This window comes from Homo sapiens, chromosome 13 (assembly GCF_000001405.40).
Source record: "Homo sapiens chromosome 13, GRCh38.p14 Primary Assembly".
Lineage (NCBI taxonomy): Eukaryota > Metazoa > Chordata > Mammalia > Primates > Hominidae > Homo > Homo sapiens.
This window is the reverse complement of record NC_000013.11, coordinates 106330046-106356673: the sequence shown is the minus strand read 5'-3', so window position 1 is coordinate 106356673 and position 26628 is coordinate 106330046. Positions and strand designations below refer to the sequence as shown.

At 38.2% G+C, this 26628-nt stretch overlaps 1 long non-coding RNA gene across 1 annotated transcript in view, besides 1 other annotated feature; it reads left to right on the top strand.

Moving 5' to 3' along the window:
* The window catches only part of LOC107984626 (uncharacterized), a 142002-nt gene that overhangs the window by 17311 nt on the left and 98063 nt on the right, over positions 1–26628 (top strand). The window lies entirely within an intron of this gene.
* Positions 7238–7885: an enhancer, noted in NCBI's record as "H3K27ac-H3K4me1 hESC enhancer chr13:107001137-107001784 (GRCh37/hg19 assembly coordinates)". NCBI's record gives its function as "activates a minimal SCP1, AML or CMV promoter by ChIP-STARR-seq in primed H9 embryonic stem cells {active_cell/tissue: H9 hESC(primed)}" and the evidence as "EXISTENCE:reporter gene assay evidence [ECO:0000049][PMID:30033119]".

Below are 26628 nucleotides of genomic sequence, written 5' to 3'. Positions count from 1 at the left end.
GCCAAGGTGGGTGGATCACCTGAGGTCAGAAGTTTGAGACCAACCTGGGCAACATGGTGAAACCCCTTCTCTACTAAAAATACAAATACTTATCCAGATATAGTGATGGGTGCCTGTAATGCCAGTTACTGGGGAGGCTGAGGTAGAAGAATTGCTTGAACCAAGGAAGCAGATGTAGCAGTGAGCCGAGATCGTGCCACTGCACTCCAGCCTGGGCAACAAGAACAAAACTCCATCTCAAAACAAAAAAAAAAAAAAAAAAAAAAGAAAGAAAGAAAAGCAAAGCAAAGCCCAATATCCTAATAGTCACTTTGGGGATTGGGGCTTCAGCCTGTGAGTTTTGGAAGGGACACAATTCAGTCCATCACAAAAACTCATCCCTGATGTCCCTGCTAGTCAGATTAGGCTAGGCCATGCATTAGCAATAAGAATCACCAACATCTCAGATGTGTACATGACCCTGTGCATTTTTCCCTCACTCTCCGCTTGGTGCAGTTCTAGAAGATGCATCAGGGTAGCTGTCCTCCCCAGGGTGACTCAGAAGTCCGGGATGACTCAATTTTAGGGACCACCAAAGTAGCACAAGGCCCCTCAGTCATGGCAGGGAGCAGAGAGTGTGAAGCTGTCACACCGGCTTTTCTGGGCTTTGGCTGGAAGTGCTGCATATCACTTGCTCTCTCTGTCCATGTGACAGACTCGTGGTCCAGACTCGTGGCCCTGCCTAATTGCAAGGATCGGAAAAGTGAGATCATGAGTGACTGTTACAGCAGCAAAAATAAACTAAGACACTGTGAACAAAGGGAACCTGTTAATATATTTATCCAACTCAGTGAAAAGATTTTGCTGGACAGAATGACAATCTTCATCCCCTGGGAACACTAATATCAGTTACTTTTATTGATACAACCTGGGTATGCTGCCTGAAGATGTGAAGCCCCTTCAGCCTTCTGATAGCAAATACAGTGGCTCAGGCCTGCATCCCACATAACAGAAGGAGTGAAACACATGCCTGTGGGCGTGTAACATTCAGAAAGAACTGAATGTTGGTGTGTACAGTCGTGTCTATCACAACCTCCTGTATGAGAAAGATAATTGTAGTATCAATTGCTATTGGGTATTGAGTGGCAAACACTGTGCTCAAAAAGTATATAAAATACTCAGTGTTAGCACTAAATTAAAAAAAAATTACTTACTTCTTTCAACAACCCTATGATGAGGAACTATTAGCCTTAAATTTTGGAGGAACAAATTGACCCAGTAGGAATAGTAAGAATGCGAGAGCTTATATGCACATGGAATGAAGTGCCTAGAATTTTTGAGCCTGTTGCAGTCACTTTGTGAAGGAAGCTCAGGCTTAAAAAGGAGATGAGAGAGCAAGGGATGGCAAAGGAGACCTGGAACTACAGGGAGCTGGTGGCAGCTCAGCAGTTGGCCAGTGAGGCGGTCCCTGGGATGGGGGATGGTACATACATTTTTAGTGTGCCTTCAATCATATGTCTTTCCCTGCCTGTGCAGTAATTACCTGCTGTTATCCCAGGTCTTCAACAAAAGCCCTTTCTAGTGCACAGAAGAGCCTTGTGTTAGTTTTGTGGAAAGAAGGAAGGTGTGGCCAGCAATTTCGCAGAGGAGCCAGACCGAGGAGCACCTCATTGGACTGACTCACAACTGATGAAAAACAAAGAAATAAAGGGAAAGTAAACAAAATGTATTTATTTGCCAAATAAACTAGAAAGGTGGTCTCTGTTAGGGATGCATGTGCCCACGTCCACAGGCATGTGTTTTGCTTCTTCTGTTATGTGGCATGCAGGCTTGAGCCACTATATTTGCTACCAGGAGGCTGAAGGGGCCTCATGTCTTCAGGCAGCATACCCAGGTTGTATCAATAAAAGTAGCTGATATAAGTGTTCGCAGGGGATGAAGATTGTCATTCTGTCCAGCAAAATCTTTTCATTGAGTTGGATAAATATATTAACAGGTTCCCTTTGTTCACAGTGTCTTAGTTTATTCTTGCTGCTATAATAGAATGCCTGGGACTGGGTAATTTGTAATGAACAGAAATTTATTTCTCTTGGTTCTGGAGCCTGTGAAGTCCAAGGTGGAGGTGCTGGCATCTGCTGAGGGCCTTCTGGCTGAGTCATCCATGGTGGAAAGGAAAGGTTCGGGAGAGAGGGAGAGAGTGTGTGTGTGAAAGGGGGCTGAACTCCCCTGTTTAAAAAAATCCTACTCCCTCAGTAACAAACCCCCTTTGAGATAACAGCATTTATCCACTCATTCTGCCCTCACAGCTTAACCATCTCTCATTAGGCCCTACCTCCCAACACTGTTGCACTGGGGATTAAGTTTCCAACACATGCTTTTTGGAAGACATATTTAACCAAAGCACATGTTTTCCCCTGCCACCAGTTAATCTAAATTACATGGAAATCCTCCTGTCTTCCCAAGCTCCAGGTTCCCACCTCTTCAGTCTTCTTCTAGGTCAATATCTGCTGCTTCGATCTGCTCATTACGTTTTTGCTGGGTGGTAGCTACTCGCTATAATTTTAGCTATCAGTTTATTTGTTTTAGAGGCAATTTCCCTTACTAGCAGAATGAACAGTTTCAACATCAAATTAAAGAGAAATTCAGTTAATTTTATTATAATAAAGCAGATGATATGGTCTACATCAGTGGTTTTTCAAAAAAGCATTTTGGCAGCAAAGTCTTTTTTTTTTAACAAAAGAAATTTTACTTGGAACTTCAATATGGAAAAATATAGAAAGTAGGATATGTTTTGAGCACCTTTCCAACTTGGGATGGTGGCTGGGAGTGGCAAACACAAAGTGGCAACCCCTGGGGCCCCTCTGCCAGACCCAGGCCTCCATGTAAAGGCCACTGGAAGTTCCTGCCCTGGGTTGTTATTAATGTTCTAGCAGCAGATTGGACAGTGCAGGACATGCTGATTAAGGGTAATGAGGGGTCAGCCTTGGAGTGATGGATAATTCATCATTGAATAGAATGATGGGGTTAAGAGCATTCTTGGTAAGGTTGTGTCTACAAAGTAATAAGCTGTCAAAGCTGAACTGATTTAGTAAGGGCAAGTGGAAGAAATCTCATTTTCTGGGGTTAGACTAGTAAAGGCAAGTAGGATATTGAAATATGTGTTCCTTCTATAGACCATAAAACTAAATAAGTTTTAGGATATGAATCACTTATCTCCCTAATGCTAATCATTAAATAATTTATTGAAGGAAAATAATTAGTGGTTACCCTAATATCCAATCAGAACAAAAAATACTAAAAAAACCGCTAAGCTGTCGAAGGCATATTTGTGGAATGACACTCATAGACACTTTCAGTGACATTTTAACCCATTATTAGTATGCATTTTTAAGACTATTATTTTTAAAAAATTAATAGACTTTATGTATAGAGCAGTTTTGGGTTTACAGAAAAGTTGAGTAGAAAGTGCAGGGTCCCCACATTCACCCTCACTCCCCCAACTCCAATTTTCCCTATTATTAACATCTTGTATTAATGTGTGTTGTTTGGTACAATTGATGAGCCAATAGTGATACATTATTATTAGCTAAAATATGTGGTTTACATTAGTGGTCTTGCTTTGTGGCTTTGCAGTGTACATTCCATGGTTTTGACAAATATATAATGTCATGTATCTACCAGTACAGTATTATAGAGAATAGTTTCACTTTCCTAAAAAGTCCCCTCTACTTCACCCATTCTTTCCTTATCCTATCTTTCTGAGCCCTGGGAAAATGATTTTTTTTTAACTGTCTCAATAGTTTTTTGCTTTTTCCAGAATATCATGTAGTTGGGATCATATACAATATGTAGACTTTTCAGATTTGCTTCTTTTGCTCAGCAATATGCATTCAAAGTATCTCCATGTCTTTGCATGGCTTGACAGCTCATTTATTCTTATTGTTGAATATTATTCCATTGTATGGATGTACTACAGCTTGCTTATTCATTCCGCTACTGCATGGCATCTTGGCCGCTTCCACTTTTGGCAATTATAAATAGAACTGTTAAAAACATTCATGTTCAGGTTTTGTGTGGACATAAGTTCAACTCATTTGGGTCAATACTAAGGCTCACAATTACTGGTTCTTACGGTAAGAGTATGCTTTGTTTTGTAAGAAACCACCAAACTATCTTCCAAAGTGGCTGTTAATTTTTTTGTGACTTTTTCATCAGTGTAGTTGTAAGCCCTGGTCTCGGTCTTTTTTAGTCGTCAGGTGCTTGTAACATTTATGAGTGTTCTGTTAGTTCTCTTATGTACACAGGTTGTGTATCCCTTATCCAAAAGGCATCAGAAGTGTTTCAGAATTTGGAATTTTTGGACTTTTAGAATATTTACATTATACTTAGCTGATCAACCCTACTCTGAAAATCTGAAATCTAAAATATTCTAGTGAGCTTTTCCTTTGAGTATTGGTGCTCAGAAAATTTTGAATTTTGAAGCATTTTGGATTTCAAATTTTGGAATTAGGGATACTCAACCTGTATCTTGCTTTGTTAAAAAGAGAGATTAGAAAAAAGAGAGAGAAATAGGAGATCTTAAAGAATATACATGTAATATATATATGAATATATATAATGCATAATATATATAATATATGCATCTTCTAAAAATAAGAACTAATTTAAGATGAGCAAAACTCAAACACAAGAATTAAAATTCCATGCATAATTTTTTATTTTAAATAAATGTAAATTTAAATAAACACTTTGATTTTTTAGACATTGTTTCAAAAGTGCTTTCCAGATTGCTGGTAAGCACTTTCTATTTGTATTTTTTTCTTTTTTTTTTTCTTGCTTTACATGCTTGGTTAAGGAAAGACCATGACAGCAAATTTTTCTAGTTCTTTGTGTTTCACATGATTGTCAAAACTAAGCCCATTGGTTTACAATTTGGCTGCTAAAACTGTGTCTAGACTTTAGGACTCCAGTTTCATTTTTTTGGTACTTTATCAATTAAACTCCCTCACTTTCCAAAAAGGAAGCTATCAAAGGTATGTATATAGTTTGTTGAATGCCCTATTCCTGATCAGAGGGAAGTTCCATTTCAGTCTGATAAAGTGTTATCTGGCAGAGAAAAACAGAACAACCAAGAAATTTGAGTGATGAGATTAGCTGCATGGCTGAGGAGATTGCTAATGATTTGCTAAGTCTCTGAACACTGTTTAGTGATGCTGTTCATCTCTCCTTGATCAGCGGTAGTGATTTCTGCTCTGCTTACGTGGGACCCTACAAACACTGGGTGGGCCAGTGGACGCCAGGAGTCTGCGATTAATCGACTGTGATCACCAGGGAAAAGGGAAACTTTTTCACTTTCTGGTGATGCATTAACTTGGGAAAAGTTTTCTGGATTTAAAGGTTGCTTTTTGCTAGAAACAGTTAACACATCTAGAGAAAAATGAGACATCTAATTTTTTCAAGCAAAGTTCAGGCCTGATGACAACATATAAATAACATACAACTATTTGTTCAATCCAGAAAAAATAACAAGAAATCTACTAATGTGATATCGTCAGGTCTCAATGAGCTAAATCAGTGAAAGGCCAGAAAAGGGGAAACAACAGGATCATAGGATTCGAGTGCTTGAAGAATCCGAGTCCAAAAGACAAAGAGATACAACCATGAGGTTTGTGGTGAGCTAGGAAAAGCAGTTGCAGAATGACTTTGACATTTGGAAAATGGAGCCTGATGACTTCCTCTATCTATTGTTTAATCTTTTGTTCTAAAAATTCAGAAATAATGCGTATTGCATATCTTTTGGGATGTAAGTGAAGATGGCTCTGAGTTTCCCAGGTGAGAAGCTGCCAGGGAGGTCTCAGCTCAATGGCGAGAGAACCCCCTCTCCACCCATTTACTTGCCATAATTGATCCCATTTTTCAGTCTTGTGAATCAGAGAGTGTGACTAAAATGGTTTCATGGGCACCCTATTGATTCTGTGTAAGAATCCATGATTATTTTCTAAAAAGTATATTTTAAAGCATGTCAGGGAACAGAATTGCCTGATTGTTTTCCCAGAAGGCTGAGACTGAAACCCCCTGGTACGGTGACAGCGTTTTGGTATTTTTCACTTCTGTTTCAGGGAGGCAAATGCATACGTTTTGATCAAATGTCAAATGTAGTTGGTAAATCTCACTTCTAAGAAGCCTCCCTTTATGTACTTTTCAGGCAGCCTGTAGGGTGGGGCATGGAGGTGACCAAGCACTGTTTGTTCAAGGTAGCACCTCTAGTAGGAGCTCATTAAGTCAGGGCTCACACACCGATCATAGGAAGGGAGCGTTGCCCAGCTTCCACTGCCTTTGATACAGATTTTGCCACAATTGTTCCAGTTATTGCCTGAGAGAGCTCATTTCCATATGTATAGAAAACCAATATACTTTCTCCTGCCTGTTAAACTGTCACCTAATGTATTTTTAGAAATATATAATCTAAAAAAGACAGAGGATGAGGCAGAAAGTTCTACAGTAGCAACATTTGAACATCCTCTACCACTTGAAGATGTTAATTAAAAAGTATCTTATTCTACTTGTTTTAATTGCCAAGCAACACAATTTTTTTTTCCTGACAAAAATTGACTTTAAACGAACTGTTTTTGTGTATAATCTGTTTTGTCTTCTGCTAGGTATGTGTCTAATGAAGACATCAGCCTCCGTTCTGTGTAGGTTTAAGGAATGCCCCCTCCTCTCTGTGCAATCATTTGTAGTGTCAGTATCTTTCTCTACTTCCAATAGCGTCAGGGATGCTGAATGGAGATGCATGTGGTTGTCAGAGAAACACAAGGAACATATTATTAGATCTTTCATAATTAGGCATTGCAGATATGTGCCAAAGATTTAGAGCTTAATCAAAAAGTTCTTATCACATGGGCTTCTGCTGGCAACGAATTGGAAAGCCAACAAAGGCAACCCTGATGCTTGCTTTGCACGATAACAAAGGGAAGACAAAGGCAGACCGATTCTGCCTCAGGTTTTATTGCACGCTGTATTTTTTTTTTTTTAAATCATATGAGTCAGGCAATGGTGGGGGAAAGGGGGTTAAAAAGCCCAGCTTCCCCGTGAAGCTCAGAGCCCCTCTTGATCCTGATGGTTTCCTTGTGTCTGAGTCATTTCACCGTGCAGGTGCTGACTAAGACTGAAGGCTGTGGGAACCTGGGTTAATGGGTCTAGCAAACCCTTTCCAGGTAGCGCCTGGGCTCCCCGGGGAGCGCTCCCGGTCCCTTCCTGTGCCACATCATCCCCACCTCGCCGGGAATTTAAGAGAGGAGCTCTCCAGCCCTTAGATAAACCTGGCCGTGTACATTGGCAGCCAGGACCGGGGGCTGCGGGAAAAAACGAGCGCGCCGCGCTGATGGCTGTTTTGACAAACTGTCGTGTGTTTTCTCTGTCTGAGTATCTGGCAGCGCAGGTGAAACATTGTGCCGCTGGTATCTTGGCTCGCCACTCGCTCTCAGGCTCTGCGGGGAGTGTCGGGCCATCCCTGCAAATGTTCCGGGCAAAGCTGTGAAAACAAACGAGGCAGATTAGTTGGACAGGCTCACCAGCTTTTGAGTGTTAACTGCCCTGGCTGCCCCTGCTTCTCAACCCTTTCCCATTCTTTTATTGAGCCGTGCACTTATCAATTAACACAATGGTTTCTGAGGTATTTTTTTTTCTTCTTCTTCTTGTAGTTACACCGTAGGAAGCAGGATCTCTCATCTTTGGACCTGAAATGGTGCTGATTCTCAGATTTTAATCTTCAAGCACAATATATGACATATTCTTTTAAAAAAAAATAAAGGCAATTTTCCTTATTATTTTAGAAAGCATGGCATGTTTGCCGTAGAGATATTAGCGAATGCAGAGAAACAGCAGGGATAGTTTTGAAGTATATATATTCCATGCCTGGGTTATGTCCCATGATCTATGCTACAGTATTTAAACTAAAATGCTTCTGACTTAGTCTCTGGCAGATAAGGACCATCAATTTCTTTTTTAAAAAGTATAGTTTAGTATGTGTAAATATCCCCGAAGTTCCAAGCATTTGGGAAGAGCCTTCAAACTGTGATAACTTTTTAAAAAAATCTTTGGTTTGAAGTAAGAGCCAAACTGGGATAAAGAGAACTTGAGCGTCCCTTTTGAGGTGAAATCAGAGTGAATTAAAAAGAGTGATTACACCCTTCTTTAATCAAAAGCTCCAGAGATGATGTTTCTTTTTTAAAAGAAACATCAAGGAATGGGCTTTGAAAATGACTTTCATATTTTCTTGTGCATTTCAGAGCTAGAGCACATTTTAAGAGTTGTCATTTGTTCTTAAATATCAGACTCTAGTATCAGCCTTTTGTCTGCGCCTGTCCTTCAGTTCATCAGAAAGATTGAGCTTGCCCTTGCTTTTTTGTGAACAAGAAGAAGCTGTCAAATGACTAATGCTCTTGGAATCTCACTGAGGCGTTTATTCTGCCTCTGTTGCTATGAGCCCTATGGTCTCTTTTGTGGCAGTAACAATATAGGTAACCTATCTAAAGTATGGATCTGGCAAAAAGGGACTTAGTCATAGCATAATGATTTTGCTTAAAAAAATAATCGTAAAATGACTACCTATACCACTAAACAGGTCTGCCATATACCCTTGGGTAAGTTGTGCACTGTACAACGCTAAGATCCATTCTTATTTTAATCTGTGTGAACAAGTTTAATAACAACAGTATCTGTATGCTTGTAATTAGTCCTGTGGACTAATTACTTGATATAGTGTTAAGGCAGTGAAAGAAAGACACTCAAATTCACACAGCAAGTGTTTATCCAAATATTTCACAATTACTAGAGGGAAATAAAACTCCTTTAGGGAACTTTAAAAATAAGAATGACTTACTTGAAATTACTTAATTAATTGACATTAACAGTATTACATGTTGAAATTCTTCACATGATTCAAAAATAAATAATCCAAAAAGAAAGGTATCATCAGTTCTTAAAATGTTTAGCTTGGTAAATAGCTCTTAAAAATAAACATCTCCTGTCTATTTCCAAGAAATTGATTGGCTTAACTTTTCACAGATATCAAGTCTGGTGCTCTAATTTGATGAATAATAGAGAAAGCAATAAAAAATGTATTTTTGTCAGAAACTAAACGTGCGCTTGTTTCTTACTCTGAGACATAAAAATTAATAGAAGCCAGAATCAATCAGTAGTGCCAGATTTATCTTATTATTGTTTTCTAGGCTCTTATTTTGCTCATTTGTGCCCATTCCAATGAGAAAATAATGCAATGACACTATTAATTTTACCTGACAAGCTCTGTTACAACTGCAGTGTTGGCATTTGTGGGAAGTGGGACTGGATTTTTTTTTCTAGAGTAAGAGTTCTTAAAGACTAAAAACCATATTCCTCTTTGATTCTTTACTACTATAGATTATTGAAAAGCCTTAAATAATTAATTTTAGAAAGAATACTTGAGATTCAGACTAAAATTTTTCATGTCCTAGGGAACTACAAGGACTTTGAAATTAAAATAAAATATGACCCTTTTATTTCTTATTTGATATTATGCTGTTTATTTATTGACCAACTTTTAAGTTTAAGCATTTTAAATATAAAGTTAATATTCTCCACTTCTGAATTTTTAAATAAATTGTGCAAACTCCTGTACAGTTGTCAAAAGACATTTGATGTTAGACTTGCTAAGATGAAGATTAACATTTTTTAAAAATTAGGTAAGAAAAAAACTAAATTTGAACCAAATCTGCTATCAATATGGTTTCAATGAAACTGACCTATTTCATCCTTTTATCAAACTCTGTGTTATTTTTTACAATTTTGATTTTGCTTCAGCTCACTCTTTCACTACTTGTATGTGAGATTTAATTGCCTTTCAACAAAAGACATAAAACAACAACTTATTAAATCTGGGTATGAACTTTCCTAAGTCAATAATTAGCTTATGCTTTCAAATGAGCTCAGAATTTAGATCTGAACTGTTTTTTCGTTTGTCTGGAGATGGAGTCTTGCTCTGTCGCCCAGGCTGGAGTGCAGTGGTGATCTCTGCTCACGCAAACTCCGCCTCCCAGGTTCAAGTGATTCTCCTGCCTAAGCCTCTCTAGTAGCTGAGACTACAGGCATGCACCACCACACCTGGGTAATTTTTGTATTTTTAGCAGAGACAGGGTTTCACCATGTTGGCCAGGCTAGTCTCGAACTGCTGACCTCAAGTGATCTGCCCACCTCAGCCTCCCAAAGTACTGGATTACACTGTGCCTGGCCCATATCTGAATATTTTTGATACTAGTTTTTTCATTACTCTTATTTTTAGTATTTCTTAAAGCTAGAGTTTAGATAAAACAAAAAATATTTGCAATTTTAATCTTTTTAATCAAATACAAGACTTTTATAAAGAAGATGTAAGAATTAAGATTCTTGGGCAACTTGATATTTTTGTTGGCTTGCTTCTTGGTTGCCATTCCTGGTGTGCAGAGCTGCAGTTCATGCTAGGCTTCATTTTCATATGCCACTGCAAAGTGGATTTAAGTGGTTTGATTGGAGCAGATATCATGGATATTTCTATAGAAGGTTCATAATTATCCATTTTTCTTGACAAAAGTAATACGGTCTTTACTCTTTTTATGTGTGACATTTTTATCACATAATTATCCATTTTTCTTGACAAAATTATCCATTTTATCACATAATTATCCGTTTTTCTTGACAAAAGTAATAAGGTCAATACTCTTTATGTGTGAAACTTAATTCATTATTTTAAAACATATCATTGTATATATACTAATTTTACAAAGTAACTTCTTAAGTTGGGGCTAGGACAGAGTCTCTGGTTATCAATTAGGCTTATTTTATAAAATAAGGTCATTGCATTCTATTGCATTTGACCTGTTCACAGAACTACCTGAAAGCAAGCTGAATGCAAATGTCATTGCCTTCATTTATTGTAAATAAGGTTTAGAACCTGTGTTCAAAGTAATTGTTTTACCTGAAAGTAATGACACGCTGATGATGTTGGAACAGTTCAGACCTCGTAAGTGACTAACCTTTCATTCTAAGTTGATTTTCCCCATGAATTAAATGAAAATAGCAACGATGTGGTGAAAATTATTAGGTGGGTCCACTAGAAGTGTTTTAGTTAACATACTTTCTTCTTTCAGCTATCAGTAAAGAATTAAGTAAATTATAAGAAATTTTGGTTTGGTTTGGTTTATTTTGTAAAACAAAAATAGAGTTTGTAAGGTTTTCTCAGATTTTCAATGAAAGTCATGGTAATTATGAATGTATTTGTTGCATAAATAGATTCTACAAAATGTTTCTCAAGCTTGAGGTAAATTGAAATGTGTTTACAATCAAATTTATTGTTAATGTTTGATAATTTTTAGTTGTATTTTTAAGCTTTGATGTATATATTTCTTCCAGGGATAAACATATATTGATGGTGTCACTTCTGAGTTATCTGGTAGTATTTTATTGGTATCACAAAGAAATTTCCAAGGGGGGATATACCAGAAACTTCTGAAAAATGATCCCTCAAAAATTATCTTTTCCAAAAAAGTGGAATTCCAGATTTCAGGAAATGGCAAGCAATAGCAGCTGCAAATAACATTTAAGTTGAAATTTTGATCATTTTTCTATGAAAATGAACTGAAAAGTAATGTCCAGGTCATGACCAGATTCACTGGGCTTTATTTAGAAAATTGCTTTTCCTGCTGACAGGGCAGTAGTTCTTCACTCAGGTGGATTAATTTGCATTCTTAGCTATTCCTATAATACTTAGAGGATTTTTTTACCTCAATAAAATTGGTGCAGTTTTTAAGGAGTGGTACGGTCTTTAAGAAACAGCCCTTTTATTGAGATTGGTGGTTGGATTTGTATGGCTCAGTACGTTGCTCAGAAATTTCCCAGTGTCTTCAAGCTTCTTCTGAAGTCAGGGCTGGGAGGTGGCCAGGAAAGGCCAAAATAGTCTGTTGTATCCACAAGATGTATGAGACCAACCAGCCTTCTAAAAAATAAAATAAGCCTTATTTATAGTTACAAAAACCCTTGCTATTTTCCTTGACTCTGAATGCCAACTATTTTATAGGACATCTCCTTTTACACATCAAAAGCAGCATTTTTACTTGAGAACTCCTATAAACTCAACGCTGACTACATATCCTCCGTGAGTCTCTGTTTTTCTTTACCCAGTGTTAAATTTTTATGGTCTTGGGTGATAACTTTAAAGGCCTATGATGAAATCAAATTTTTGTTATTCTGATTGGCTTCTCTTAAGAGGAAATGCAATGTATTTCTTTTTTAATGTAACTTTTTTTTTTTTTCTTAAATTAGAGCTCATACAGATCCCAGAAAGTAAATGTGTGTCTGCCAGCCCTGGCTAGACCTGAGCGTGGTCTGAGATTCGGCAAACTCCTGAGCTCAGCTTCACAAATCCTGTTCATTCTAAAGTGACAGCTTGATGTTTTGATTCTGAAACTGAAAGAAGACTGATATTAAAATGGATTCACTCCCAACCCCTCTTTTTCTTCCTCCTGGGGTTTGTTAACAGCCAGTTGTAGGTACTTGGGGCTCCTGAGTGATCACTGGGCTGAGAGTTTCCGAAGGGAAGGCTGGTGGGGCTGCAGTCCTCCCACCTCAGAAGCTTTTCTTATCTTCATTCACGTCAGAACAGTATCTTGCTTACACAGTGAGGATCTGTGGCCACGAGTTTTGGTTGCCTGGCTCTATCTTTATTTCTTGTACCTGGATATCAGGTTGCCTTTAAATTGGAAAAAAAAGACTGTAATCTCATTTGATAAGGGGATTTTGGACATCAAGCTTCAGTATGCAAGAGCTAGATAGATATCTGTTAACAAGAATTGCCCTGAGGGAATAGATAATGGGAAAAATCTACATTTAAAGCAAAAGGCTATGTTTAAAGTCAATAGGATAAGTGGAATTTAAGCAGGAAAACTTAGCATCTAAATCAATTTCGTCTTCTACGATTTTTACATGCCAGTGGGGTTCTCCCTGTGTGTACGTACAGAACATAGCCCATCTTTACGTCTCATCTTTTAGAGATCAAAGCCAACTTGAATAACAGCTGATCACAGAGGCAGATTTATGATGCCGACTGCACTTTATTCCTCCTTGTCCCTTATAGTTTCCCAACCTTCAAAGCCAATGTTAAGTTTGAAATAGCACCTTAAAAAGGTTAAGGCACCTACTGTGTGCTTTAGTGGTTGACAGTATAGGATGCAGTGTGGCTCAGAGGTCACTTGTTAGCTGTGTGATCCTGTCCAATGTGCCTTCCCTCTCTGTGCCTCAGTTTTCTTCTCTGTAACAAAGAGAGTAGTACCGACCGCACAGGGCTTAAAGTGTTAGGTTATGCAAAGCGTAGTGCAACGCCTCTCAAATCCTAAGCACTCTATTTACATAAATCATCTCATTTTATCCCTTTCCTACCCTGTGGGGCTAGCAGCGTTCTTATTGCCTGCCTTAGCTCAGATGAGTTCAAAAGCAAAGCCTGTGGCAAATCATCAGAGAGAGAGAAAAGGATTGGAAGTGAAACAGGGGCGGAGGGAAAGCCAGCGCGAGGGTGCATTTTGAAGTTGTCCACTCTGGACAAGGGGCTTTTGAAAAGGCTTCAGAAATAGATCCAGGAACTGTCTCCGAGGCTGGACGTAGGAGAAATGTTCATCTATAGCCTTGTACACTCCTGTCAGGTGAGGCGAAGGGATGCTAACGGCCCCACTCATCCCCTTTGAACCTGTCTGTGTTCCCATGGGCACCACACCGAGGAGCTGGAGACCCCTTGGCACAGGCCTGGAATGAGATGCTGTTGCCTGTCCCTCTTTAGAGCTGATGAGAGCTGGGCCTAACTGTTCTCTTCAGCCATGGCTGGAGTAAGAGGTGAGGCTGAGAATACTTGGAGTCAGGTATAACTTATGTCCAGTACACTCCCATTTTACAGTCAGGAAAACTGAGCCTAAGGGAGTAACCAAGACCACCTAATTAACTCAAAACTGGGTTTTAAATCCAGACCCTGTGATCTATTGAAGCTTCATTTTTTAAAATGATATTCAATATTAGTAGAGATGAAAGGAAATTCAATGAAAAGGATGGGAATGTTAGCGTTCATTAATTTTTAGTCTGAAATTATAATTCCTAAAAAAGTTTTTTCTCTTTTTCTTTTCTCCTGCTCTTTGCTCTCTCTAAGGTGTGTGTATTTTCTTGTTAACTAGGGAAGTAAGACTATTTCTCAGGGAAACAATACAATCATGAGACTGTTTTCGAAAGACATGACAGAACCCAATGGCTTTATTCTTGAGTCATGCTAATTTATTATTTTGTTGTAATTTTATATTCAACATATTTGAGCAACATTTGAGAAAAGATATAACTAACATTAGATTGGGTATATCTTTTCCCCAGAAACTGTATATGAGAAAGTTCTAGAATTATAAATAATAGTGTCTCTGAACTTAAAAAAGTACATAAAAATACGAATCTGTGATCAGATTAGTTTATTCATTTGTCCTGAAAACATTTATGGAAAGCTTTGCACTGATGCTGGAGAAAGAAGACAAAAAGGTGTTTCTTGCTCTCCAGATGGTCACTGTACCACTAAAACGTAGAAAATAATTTACTAGTCATAAGGCTCATCATAACTGTGTTCTTATAATAGTTTTTTTCTGGGACACATTCCTCTCTGGCTTTTGAACCTTTTCTCCTCACTCCCAGCTACTGCTACCTTTTGTTTTATTATCTTATTCCTGTATCACATTCTACCATTCCAAATATACCTACTTCCAGAAAGATGTTCTTCCTTTAACATTTCTTCATGCCATTTCTTTGCACAGAATTTTTCAATAGTCACACATTGGATTCAGGATTAAAGATGTAGCTCTGTGGCTTGGCGCATGGTTACTGGTCCTGTCCCAGGCCCTACTCTTCCTGTTGTTTTGGCACTGGACCATTGGTAGCTCTTGGTGTCTTTTATAAGCCTCTGTACCTCCACATTTCTGCTTAAAAATGTGTCTTTACAGATGCATGCGTTTGTTGATTTTGATGTGGAATTAAGAACTGCTCTTTTCCTGGGTTTTGGACAATTTGAATGGGATGTATCTAATTGCGGCGTTCTTCACGTTCCTTTTGTTTGTTAATCTTCCTGAATGTGTGAGTTTATAGTTTTCATCAAATATAAAATGACTTAAATTTCTAATAATTTTCTTTGCTTTGTCCAATATTAATACAGTTAATTTAGCTTTCTTTTGATAGTGTTAGTATAGCATATCTTTTTCTATCTTTTTATTTTAACCTACTTGGATTTTATATTTAAAGTGGGTTTTTTTGAAGGCAGCTTATAGTTGGATCTTGACTTTTTAAATCCAATTAAACAATTACTCTTTTAATTGACCTGTTGACACTATGTGTGTGTGTATTATATATATATATTTATATGTACTGTCTATAAATATATATATATGTATATACTTTTTTTTTTTTTTTTTTGAGAGAGAGCCTTGCTCTGTCAGCAGGCTGGAGTGCAGTGGCGTGATCTTGGCTCACTGCAACCTCTGCCTCCCAAGTTCAAGCAATTCTCATGCCTCAGCCTCCTGATTAGCTGGGACTACAGATGTGCACCATCACACCTGGCTAATTTTTTTATTTTTAGTAGAGACAGGGTTTCACCATATTGGCCAGGCTGGTCTTGAACTCCTGACCTCAAGTGATCTGCCTACCTCAGCCTCCCAAAGTGCTGGGATTACAGGTCTGAACCCAACCAGACCATTTATATTTAATGTAGTTATTGTTATGATTGGATTTAAATCTTTTGTATTAATTTTGCTTTCTATTTGCCTCATCTGTTTTTGTTTCCTCTCATTTCCTGCCTTAGTTTGCATCAGTTTCGTGTTTTTGATTAATCTGTTTTATCTCCTTTTTGGCTTATAAGCTATAACTCTCTGTTATGATTTTTTGTGGTTAATTTATTTTTTGTGAGTATCTTTAACTTATCACAATCTTCAGGTATAGTATAAGAATCTTATAACCATCTACTTCCATTTATCTCACCCTGATCTTTGTTCTATTATTATAGCACAATTTACTTCTACATATATTACAAACCCCTTAATACATTGTTATTCTTTTTGCTCTAGCTTATTATTTTTTGCAATTTAAGTAGTTTTTCTTTCATTACTTTAAAAACACTGTTCCATTGTCTTCTGAGTGACATTATTTCCAATGAGAAATCTACTGTCATCCTCGTCTTTGTTCCTCTGGACCCTACGTCACAATGTGTCCCTTTTCTCTGGCAGCTTTTCACAATTTTTCTTTTTCACTGGTAATGGGCAATTGGATTTTGACACTTTGTATAGTTTTCTTCATGATTTTTTTTTAGGCCTTGTGGCTTGCTGAACTTCTTAGATGTATGAGTATATAGTTTTTATCCAATTTAAAAGGTTTGGGGCCATTATTTCTTTGTTATTATTGTTTTTATTTTCCTTTCTCTCTCCTCTTTTCATGAGGACTCCAGTCTTACTTTATTAGGAGTCTTGAAGTTGTCCTATAGATCAGTGATGCTCTACCCTACAAACTCTAGCTCCCATAGTATCTGTAGACTCCAGTTTTGTCCCCTCAACCCATAAAGTCTTTCAGGCTCAGCCTGGGCTGGCACCTCCTTGTGCTCAGCCTAGAAACTTTGTCCAGGAGATAAGCTCCCTCCCTTCGTTTGTATCCTCTGTCATCACTCTCCTTTGTTGTTTAATGTTCAATGTCTTAAATGTCGTTGTTTCCTGGGTATGTTTCTGGTTACAAGTTGTTTCAGGTAAGTGGACAAATGTAGTATCTGCTGCCTTTGATTTGAATTTTGCTTTTTCCAACACTGACTAATTTTAGGCCATTCGACCAACTTCTGCTAAAATTTTGATAGGTATTGAGGAAAGCTCAAGCCAGTGAAGAAGGTGACTAAATTATCTTCTTGGAATCAGAAAATAATCTATATTGCTTATTGTTAAGACTGTTTAGTATGTGTGGAAGAGAATAATGGGAGAATAATGGCTATAGAATTAAATAGAGAGAAAATCAAATTCCAGCTTTAAGTTTCGCATTACAGATTTGTAAAAATGTCAGTATTCAGTGAAGATATATTAAAATATTTCTGATCATAAAGTGATTGGATGAATCTGTGCTGATGTATATTAAACTAATGCTGAGAGTTAACAGGGTTATGGAGAACATGGTTCTGGACTCAGCCTGCCTAGCTTTGAATCTTTGATCCACCTCAGAATAGTAATGTGGCCTGAATAAAGTCATTTCACTTTTAGGTATTTCAGTTTCTTCATCCCTAAAATAAGGTTGTCATGAATTAACATGAGTTCATTTTGTAAAATATTTAGACAAGTGCCTGGCATCTGATTGGTGCTCTAAAATGTTCACTAACAACAACAAACAAAAGGCAAAGAGCACCCAAATAAATATAATGTTTTATGTTTTGCTGTTTTTAGCAAAATTAGTATTAGGAAACAATGGAGACAGATGAGTTAAAAGGCAATTGTTATAGCAATCCAGTTTAGAAGTAACATGGCTGAACTTGCCATAGAAAGCAGGAATAGAAAGGAGATCATTATTGGAAAGACTTTGCCGAGGATAAACATACAGAATTATAAAGATCTGGAGTCAGGATGAGAGGGAGAGGGGAGGGACAAAATAACAAATGGAAAGATGGAATCCACTGCCCAGGACAATGGGGGGTTCATGAACTGAAATTGTAGGTCAGAGTTCATTCAGTTTTATAGCTGTAGATACAAAGGACTTTCAGGGGAAATGCTCAGGGAAGCAGGGGAAGCAGGTCTGTATCTCAAGAGAGAGACCACAGAGTGAGAAACACTTATCTAGGAGATGACTGTATGGAGTAGAGAGAGGAGGGCCCAAGAACAACTTGTAGGGAGTGAGGCAGAGAGTTCTGGGAGCATAAAGAAGGACACATTAAAGAAAGAGGAGAATCAGGACAGCAGAATACAATACACTTCCTGGGAAAAGAGAGTTTGAAGAAGGATGAAGCTAGTAGACCCAGGAATGACAAAAGGCTACTGCATGTGGCTACTGAAGAATCACTGGTGACTTTCACGAAAATCACTTTAGATAGGTATCAGTGTCAGAACAGATTGCGGTGGGCCTGTGTATTAGTCTGTTCTTGCAACTGCTATAAAGAAATACCTGAGACTGAGTAATTTATAAAGAAAAGAGGTTTAATTGGCTCATGGTTTCACAGGCTGTACCAGAAGCATAGCAACATCTGCTTCTGGGGAGGCCTCAGGAAGCTTCCAATCATGGTGGAAGTCAAAGGGGAAGCAGGCACTTCACATGGCTGGTGCAGGAGCAAGAAAGGGAGCAGGGAGGTGCCACACACTTTTTAAACAAGTAGATCTCGTGAGAACTCTAAGATTAGAATGCACAAGGGGAATGGTGCTAACCCACTCATGAGAAACCACCCCCATGAGCCAATCACCTCCAACCAGGCCCCGCCTCCAACATTGGGCATTACAATTTGACATGAGATTGGGGCAGGGACACCAAACTGTGCCATCACGTGAGGATGGTGAAGTCATAGAAGTGTGAATAGCCTGTGTTTTAGAAGATTTTGTGCTGATTAGACAGCTCTGGAAAAGTAGATTGAAGGGTGAGTTTGATGAAGGCAAGATTTCTCTCTTCAATCCTTCAGCATCACACTGGTACAAGAACATACTGAAGACAGAATGTCTAACTAAAGAATCTCAGGCATCAGAGCAGGCTGGTGAGGGAGGCCCCTTGTGCAGCAGGTGGTTTTTCAGCATTCTTTGTACTCACTGACACATGGGGCCCTGTCAGTCCTGGGCCATCTGTGTTTATATTCTGTAGCATCTTTTTGCTTCCCTATGTATGCGTCACATTCACACCGAGAGGTTGTTAAAATGCAGACTCCAGGGCCCCACCTTGGAGATTCTGTTTTAATAGATCTAGGGTGGGGTCCAAGAATCTGCACATAAAAATACTTGCTTAGTTCTTGAATAAGCAGTACCTTCACACGGTTCAGAAGCTACTAAAGGACATAGGGTGGAAAACCACCTTCCTACACGTGTTCCTCAGCTGCTCCATCGCTCATGTTCCAAGCCTTCAATTTTATCAGTCTCTGTTATAGCCTAAAGGAATTTAGAAAACGTTTTGGCTTTTTCTTGTTTTTGTTTTCAATGAATGGAGTGACATGAGCTTAAATATAATTAAGAGAGTAGAAGCTATAGTTGAAGGAGAGAGTGAACCATATATGTGAGAGAGAAGAAAATCCACGGAGGATTGAACTTACAGATGTGATTAACAGTAGAAACATGAAGCAGAGCCTCTCCTCTCTAGGCTTCTCAGATTTCAAAATGTAAATAGCAATGCAATAGACCTAGAAGAACTTAGTCATCTTCAGATACTGGCCTCCTGTATACATCAGCTTCAGGAGCAGAAATCTTGAATCTGTGCATGGGTACCATGATCAATTGCTTGTGTGTTTCTTCTTTATTGTTAATCTTCTACTTTTTTCTTGATACCAAACTTATTGAATGAAAAAAGTGATAAAATCTTGCCCTGCTGGTTCTCTGAACATATGAACTCCATGCATCCCTCGCGGCTTTATTTTGGATGTCAGGCCATACAGACCGGCCATAGACAACATTTAATGAATTTAAAAGATATAACTTCACAGCACCAAAATTTTAATAAATGAAGACAGGCACACACTGCTGAATTTCCTCCGTTCTGCCATGTTCTATTTATCTTTCTCTCCCTCTGCATTTTAAATAACCCTTCGGTCAACATTGTAGGTATTCAAGTTTCAGATATTGTCTAAGGGTAAATAGCCCTCTCGCTAATAAGTGTTCCTGTACTTGACATAGTTTTTGGCAAAAGGTTGTTCTAAATACTGAAAATAAAGAGTGAAGATTCTACGTTTTGTATGCATTTCTTATTTTGTAAAGTTATTTTTTAAGAGAATAATAATTTTGGAAAGTCTGATTCAAATATCAGTTTAGAGTGAACATTTCTTGCCAACTTGAATTTAAAGTCTTATGCAAAAGCTCCGAATTCCACCAGCTCGGTTAAAGACTATCCCACCGAGACTGGACTAAATCCACCAGGCGTGCCGAGCCTTGGGACAGAGCTACAGAATTCCTCTTTGAAAAGTGCTGGGATACAGATTAAGGCTGAAGAATATGCTTTAAAATAACTGTGACTGGATGTTTCAGTGAGAAAAAAGGAGTGGGTGAGAGATTATAGTAACTAAATATGAAAAAAAATCTGTTTTCTTTTGACGGTTTCTTCTTTTGAATTATATTGAAGACAATTAGTTTATTGACAGACACTGTGGCTATGGATGTGAGCTTTTTTCACCATGAATTAAGTTAGGTTAGTTTGTGTTTCAGAATCCGAAAATGCCCTTTAGGGAGTAGTCCTCTTAAGTTGAAGGTAAATAGAGGACGTTATTTCAGCTGAATTGGAGAGATGTATAAAAAATGGAGTGATTCTTCATAACACAGAAAAATGAAATGAATTTTTCTTATTGTGTCTTTGTATTCATTTTGACTTTGACAGTTTTACTAAAATTAGCTATATAAAATAAGCCAGAGAGTAATAGAAAATGGGTATAAATCCTTTGATAACTTTTTATGGTGATATTTATTGGTGTTATTCATAAATAAAAAAGATTTAAGTGGGCATTAGATGGTACTTTAGAAGGATATTGAAAACATCCTAGCTTTCAGTAAGAAATGAACATGACCAATTACATTTCCTATATATAATAAATGTATAAGTATTATAGATGTTTTTGAATTATAAAATGATTTTATAAAGTAATTGCCATTACTTTAAATGGCAAAAACCACAATTACTTTTGCAGCAACTTAATAGACAATTTTGACTGCACAGCTAGTAGGTTGGTTAAGAGGTAACATTTCCAATTATATTAAGAAAATATAAATGCAAATTTAGAATTCTGTCTATCCTATGTTGAAATATGGGAGGTAAACATACATGATAAAAAAGTCTACAGCTCCAAAATTTATTATCTATTTATCATCAAAGTTGACAGAAAGCCTTAAGAAATAAATGAGTGCAATTAGTGTATATATTTAGGAAGAATCACAAAGTTGATACTAATAATGCTTCTCAGCTTGCCAATTTAAAAAAAGTCACACACTTCTGAATAGAAATAATGTGTAAATAGAAAAAGTTGAAATACGGAGGTGGCTTACCACATTTCACCCAGAGCTCAAAAAATAAAATCAATACCTACAAAATAGCTAGTTGATAAGAAAAATAATGAAAACATGTTAGATTTTAATCTGCTAGTAGTTATTACAGAAGGATATAGGTAATCTCATCTTAAATTATAGTCATTGATGGTTTTCAGTGTAAAAATAGTGTTTTTTTTCTGGAAGGTGGTGGTTATATTGTTACACAGTTCATGATGAGAATGTAAACTTTAAAATGTTTTGTTAGGTAAGGAGATGATCTTGCTTATGTATTTTAATAATTGTCCCTGAAGTTTAATTTTATTTGACAAATTAGGAAAATGTAAGAAACAAAGTGCTCATGCAAAAAGACATGTCTGTATATATTTTTGTTGCAAATTTTTGGGTTTCATTGTATTCAAAAGGCCAAAGAATTACACCTCAAAGAGACTGCATTTTAGGTTTCCCTAGGACATCTCCTAGAGTCATCTTTCCTGTCATTGTGCCTCATAGATCACATCAGTTTCATTTGATGGCAAAGATAGTCTTTCTATAAGGATAATATGGCTTTTAGGAAGTTTATTTTATCATTTAAGAATCAAAAAGTGATGGCCAGGCGCAGTGGCTCACGCCTATAATCCCAGCAGTTTGGGAGGCTGAGGTGGGAGGATGACTCGAGCCCAGGAGTTTTAGACCAGGCTGGGAAACAACATGTGACCCCATCTCTACAAAAGATAAAACAATCAGCCATGTGTGGTAGCATGCACACATGTGACCCCATCTCTACAAAAGATAAAACAATCAGCCATGTATGGTGGCATGCACACATGTGACCCCATCTCTACAAAAGATAAAACAACCAGCCATGTATGGTGGCATGCACACATGTGACCCCATCTCTACAAAAGATAAAACAACCAGCCATGTATGGTGGCATGCACACATGTGACCCCATCTCTACAAAAGATAAAACAACCAGCCATGTATGGTGGCATGCACCTGTAGTCCCAGCTACTCAGGAGGCTGAGGTGGGAGGATCACTTGAGTGTGGGAGGCTGAGGCTGCAGTGAGCGATGATGGAACCACTGCACTCCAGCCTGGGTGACAGAGTGAGACCCTGTCTTAAAAAAAGAAAAAATGGAAAGAATTATTCAAAAAAGGAGATGGGGAAGGAAGGCAGAGTGGAATTCTGAAGTTCAAAATTAAAATAATTACTATTTAGAGTAACACATTTGACATCATTCAGGATGTCCTATCTTCAGACTTACCTCAAAACACAGGAGTTGAGGGATTCAAGAATAAGAATTCACCTGCTACTCTTGCCTGGTCCAGTGCAAGAGTCTGGGAGAATTGGAGTCAGCTCATAGATCTCCTGGAGAGAAGGCAGAAGTCATATTACAGTCAGAGATCTCAGTGGTTCTTTCCACTTCAAGGTCCTTGAATTCAGTTAAGCCTTAAAAGTGCTCAATGGATTCTTTATTCCTTTATTTACCTAATAAACTTGCTCTCACGTTACAAAAAAAAAGGTGCTCATTGTTTCTTCTAAGGACAGGAGACTGCTCATCGCTGAGTAAATGGAGGACAAACTCCATTTGAATGAAGGAAATTCACACATGAACCTGAGACTCTTCCTTGTCAATGACCATTTTAAAACCCAGGCAGTCACAAAACTTTATTATGGAATAAAGGATGGGTTTGGATAACAAGATGATGCTTTTAAAAGAAAACAATTTAATCTTGATATTTTTCTTTATGATGAGACAGAAAATTTTATTGTTATAAATACCAGTCTACAGGACCAATGTTAATATTTTTAGATTTGTTTTATGGTGAATAGAAGTGAAATATAATATGTTTAGAAAAATATTTTATGTTTTTAAATATTGGGAAACTTTGCCTTTTTAAAACACCATTATTTAGAAAGAAAATTAGAAATGTATTAGTTTATCCCATTTCTCATGAAGACCCATGACTTATTTGCTGTAAACAAACTTTGCCATTGTTCAGGCAGCTGTAAAACATGAAAGTTATTTTTGCTTTTCAACAGATAATAAAATAAATGATTTGAAATCACTTTTAAGAAAAAATATTGATTAATGGAAGAAATGGTCTTTCTTGGATATAAAGATGTCATCATTATTTTATTTTTTGTCTTTAATGTGCAAGTTCTAACTTTCTTCTTTATGTATTTGAAAATAAAACTTGTGTAAGACTAAGAAAATATTTAAAATATGCGGGCTAAGTCATGACTTTCAATTAAATTATGTCTGTGTTTATTGGGGGGTAAATTCTCAGTCCTTCTGATTCAAGGAACAGTGATTTCTCCCAATATTAAATTCTTTCTCTTAGTTCCACTCCTCATCTTGGAAATGTGCCTTCCAGTGCCTTGTAATGTAAAATAGATATTTTTAAAACTTCTGAACTACCTCATTAGTTTTTTCCTTCTTTTTTCTCTGTTATTTTTTACTCTGATTAAAGTAAAACAAACCAAAAGAAAAAAAGAAACAACTAAAAGCAACTAAACAAGCCGTATTAACAACTCAACTTTTGCACTATTCAAGAAGCCTTCTATTGGTGAATGGCTTGAAATGACCAATTTGCATTAGAATGATCCCTCTTTGGTTTTCTTGTGTAACATGAAAATCACAGCATTTCCTTAGCGGAAGCCCAGACAGTGTATGGTTTGTAAAATTACCACAGTTTGTACAACTGGGTCTTTACTTCTATGTGAATTGGTCTCTTAGAATAGCTTTAGAATAGGCAAAGAAAGCAGTTTACCCCCACTGTGTGCGTGTGTTGGGGGCAGGGGGGCGGTGGTGTGTGTATGGTATGTGGCATGTGTGTGCATGCAGGCTTGCTATACAGTAGGATTATTAATAGAGTTCTAGAATTTACCATGTGAATACTGGATGTCTGGACCTGCTACACACTTCACTGGTAGGGAATGGTAATTTGAAAAATGCTACAAAGTTGGATACAAATTATTTAACACAGGAAATCTTTCTTTTTGATGCAAATCATGTACTTTCTGTTGTGTGTATCAGTAGTTGATTTTTAAAACCATTGTAGTAAACTATAAATGACATAGTGGTTATTGTTTTAATTATTTGGATCTGTGCAATTCATTGGCATTAAATACATTCACGATGTTTCAGAATCCTCACCACTATCTATATTTAAAACTTTTCATCATTTCAAACATAAACTCTGTACCCATTAATCAGTAACTTCCCCCACAACCCAGCTGCTGCTAACTTCTTGTCTACTTTCTGTCTTTAGGAATTTGTCTAGTCAAGGTATCTTGTATAAGTGGAATCACGCAACATTTTTTCTTCTGTGTTTGGCTTCTTTCACGTAGCATAATGTTTTTAAGATCTATTCATGTCACAGCATATGTCAAAATGATACAGACAGGAGACAGGGAAATACTGCGTAGAAGAGGGAGGTTCCCTGGCAAAGGCCCTACCCTCAAGCCTGGAGACCCACGGCCCTAAGTGGGAACAGGCATTTCAGTTTTTGTGCCCAGAAAGTTGCTTTTTGGCCCGCCACACCTCCCTATCCTGTACCCATATAAACCCTGAACCCCAGGCTCCAGAAGCAGATGAGCAGAGGAGACGAGATAAGCAGAGGGATGGCAGAACTGTGTGGCAGAGAAAGAGAGAAGAAGAGGAACATCTGAACACCGAGAGGACTTCGTCTGGGGGCAGTTGGAGAGATGGGCTGCTTGACAGCCAAACTCCAGGGGAAGATCATCTTCCTGCTCCATTCTCCCTTCTGGCTCCCCATCCGTCCTGCTGAGAGCCACCTCCACCATTCAATAAAACCCCATATTCATCCTTCAAGCCCATGTGTGACCCAATTCTTCTAGGATGCTGGGCAAGAGCTCAGGATACAGAAAGATGTCACACTGGCCCTCTGCCCTTGTGAAAAGGCAGAGGGTCCATTGATCTGGTAAACACTTAAGCTGTCTGAGGATGGCAAGGCTAAAAGCATTGTAACACAGGGGTTGCAGGCATCCACCCCTAGACATGACTGCAGGGCCAGAGGCCAAAGCACCTGCCCCAGCTTCTGCACCTGCCGGTCTGTGTGCTCCCCATCCTGTCAGGGTATGAGCAGCAGCAGTGACACAACAGACAAGCCACACCCCTGTCACATGTCCTGCGAGAGGGATCAGGGAACTCTCCTGTTTCAAAATTTTCATTTCTTTGTCTGGCTGAATAATACTCCATTGTGTGTAGAGGCTACACTGTATGTCCATCCATCTGTTGATGGACATTTGGACTGCTTCTGCCTTTCGACTATTGTGAGTAATGCTGCAGTGAACACTGCCGTGCAAATATCTTTTGGAGTCCCTGCTTTCCATTCTTTTGGCTATACTAAGAGTGGAATTGCTGGGTCATATGAAAATTTGATGCTCACCTTTTTGGATAACTGTCAAACTCTCTTCCACAGTGGTCACACCATTTTCACAGTGAAAATGTAGCTTCAAAGTCTGGTCAAGTTCTGAACTGAGTTTTCCCATTTCCAAGCGTGCCATCATTTTCTTTCCTCAAAGTACTTCTTGTGCCTCATGCTCATAGTAACGGAAGTGTTCTGATAGTAGCTGAGTCTCTCATTTTCTGGGAAATTCATTTAGATTCTTGCCTAGCTAAAAATGATTTTAATTTGATTATCCTGTGGAGAACATTAGACACAGAAACACGATTGGCTGGGTCTCCAATCCTGCAGATCCTCCCTATTTTTCCTGCCTTGAATTTCCTGCCTCCCTGCTTTTCTCTGTGCTGCATGGGAATACTGGTTACTTTCAATGAGTCTTCGCTTTATATGAAGCACAAATCCTGAGCACAGTATTCTTTGCCCTGCCCAGGTCCTCTAAGCTTGATCTCACATCTTCTTCCTAACTTTGACTGTATGTGTATTCAAGGCGGAAGGCAAACTGTAATTTTTGTTCATGGTCTTCATCATTTGGCCTTGCTATGACTTCTACCTGGAGGAGCACACCTAACCTCTAAGGATTCATTTTTCAAATCTCAGGTGTATGCCTCAGGATGCTGAGCATCATGGACAAGCTCCCAGGCCTGCGGCTTTCAGCTGGGGATGTCAGTGGAGAGCCCTGGCAGGGGCTCAGAGGAAGGGGAGAGGGAGAAGTTAGGGAATTTAGTCCTTAGCGCCTGCTGTGAGGTTACTTCCTATTGGCTCCTCCCTTGAGTAAAGCTTGCTGCTTCTCTAGCTTCTTTTGCCTATCCCTGTTTGCCTCCCTGTGACTGGGAACTGCTCTTGGTGACACTTGTCACTTTGAACTTTGGCTGGTATCAGCTCCTGCTGTGACGACTCCAGGTTGCTGAGTTGCAGTTGGCTTCCCAACACCCAAACCTCTGTTTACAGACGTCCTTCCGTAAATAACCCTTCC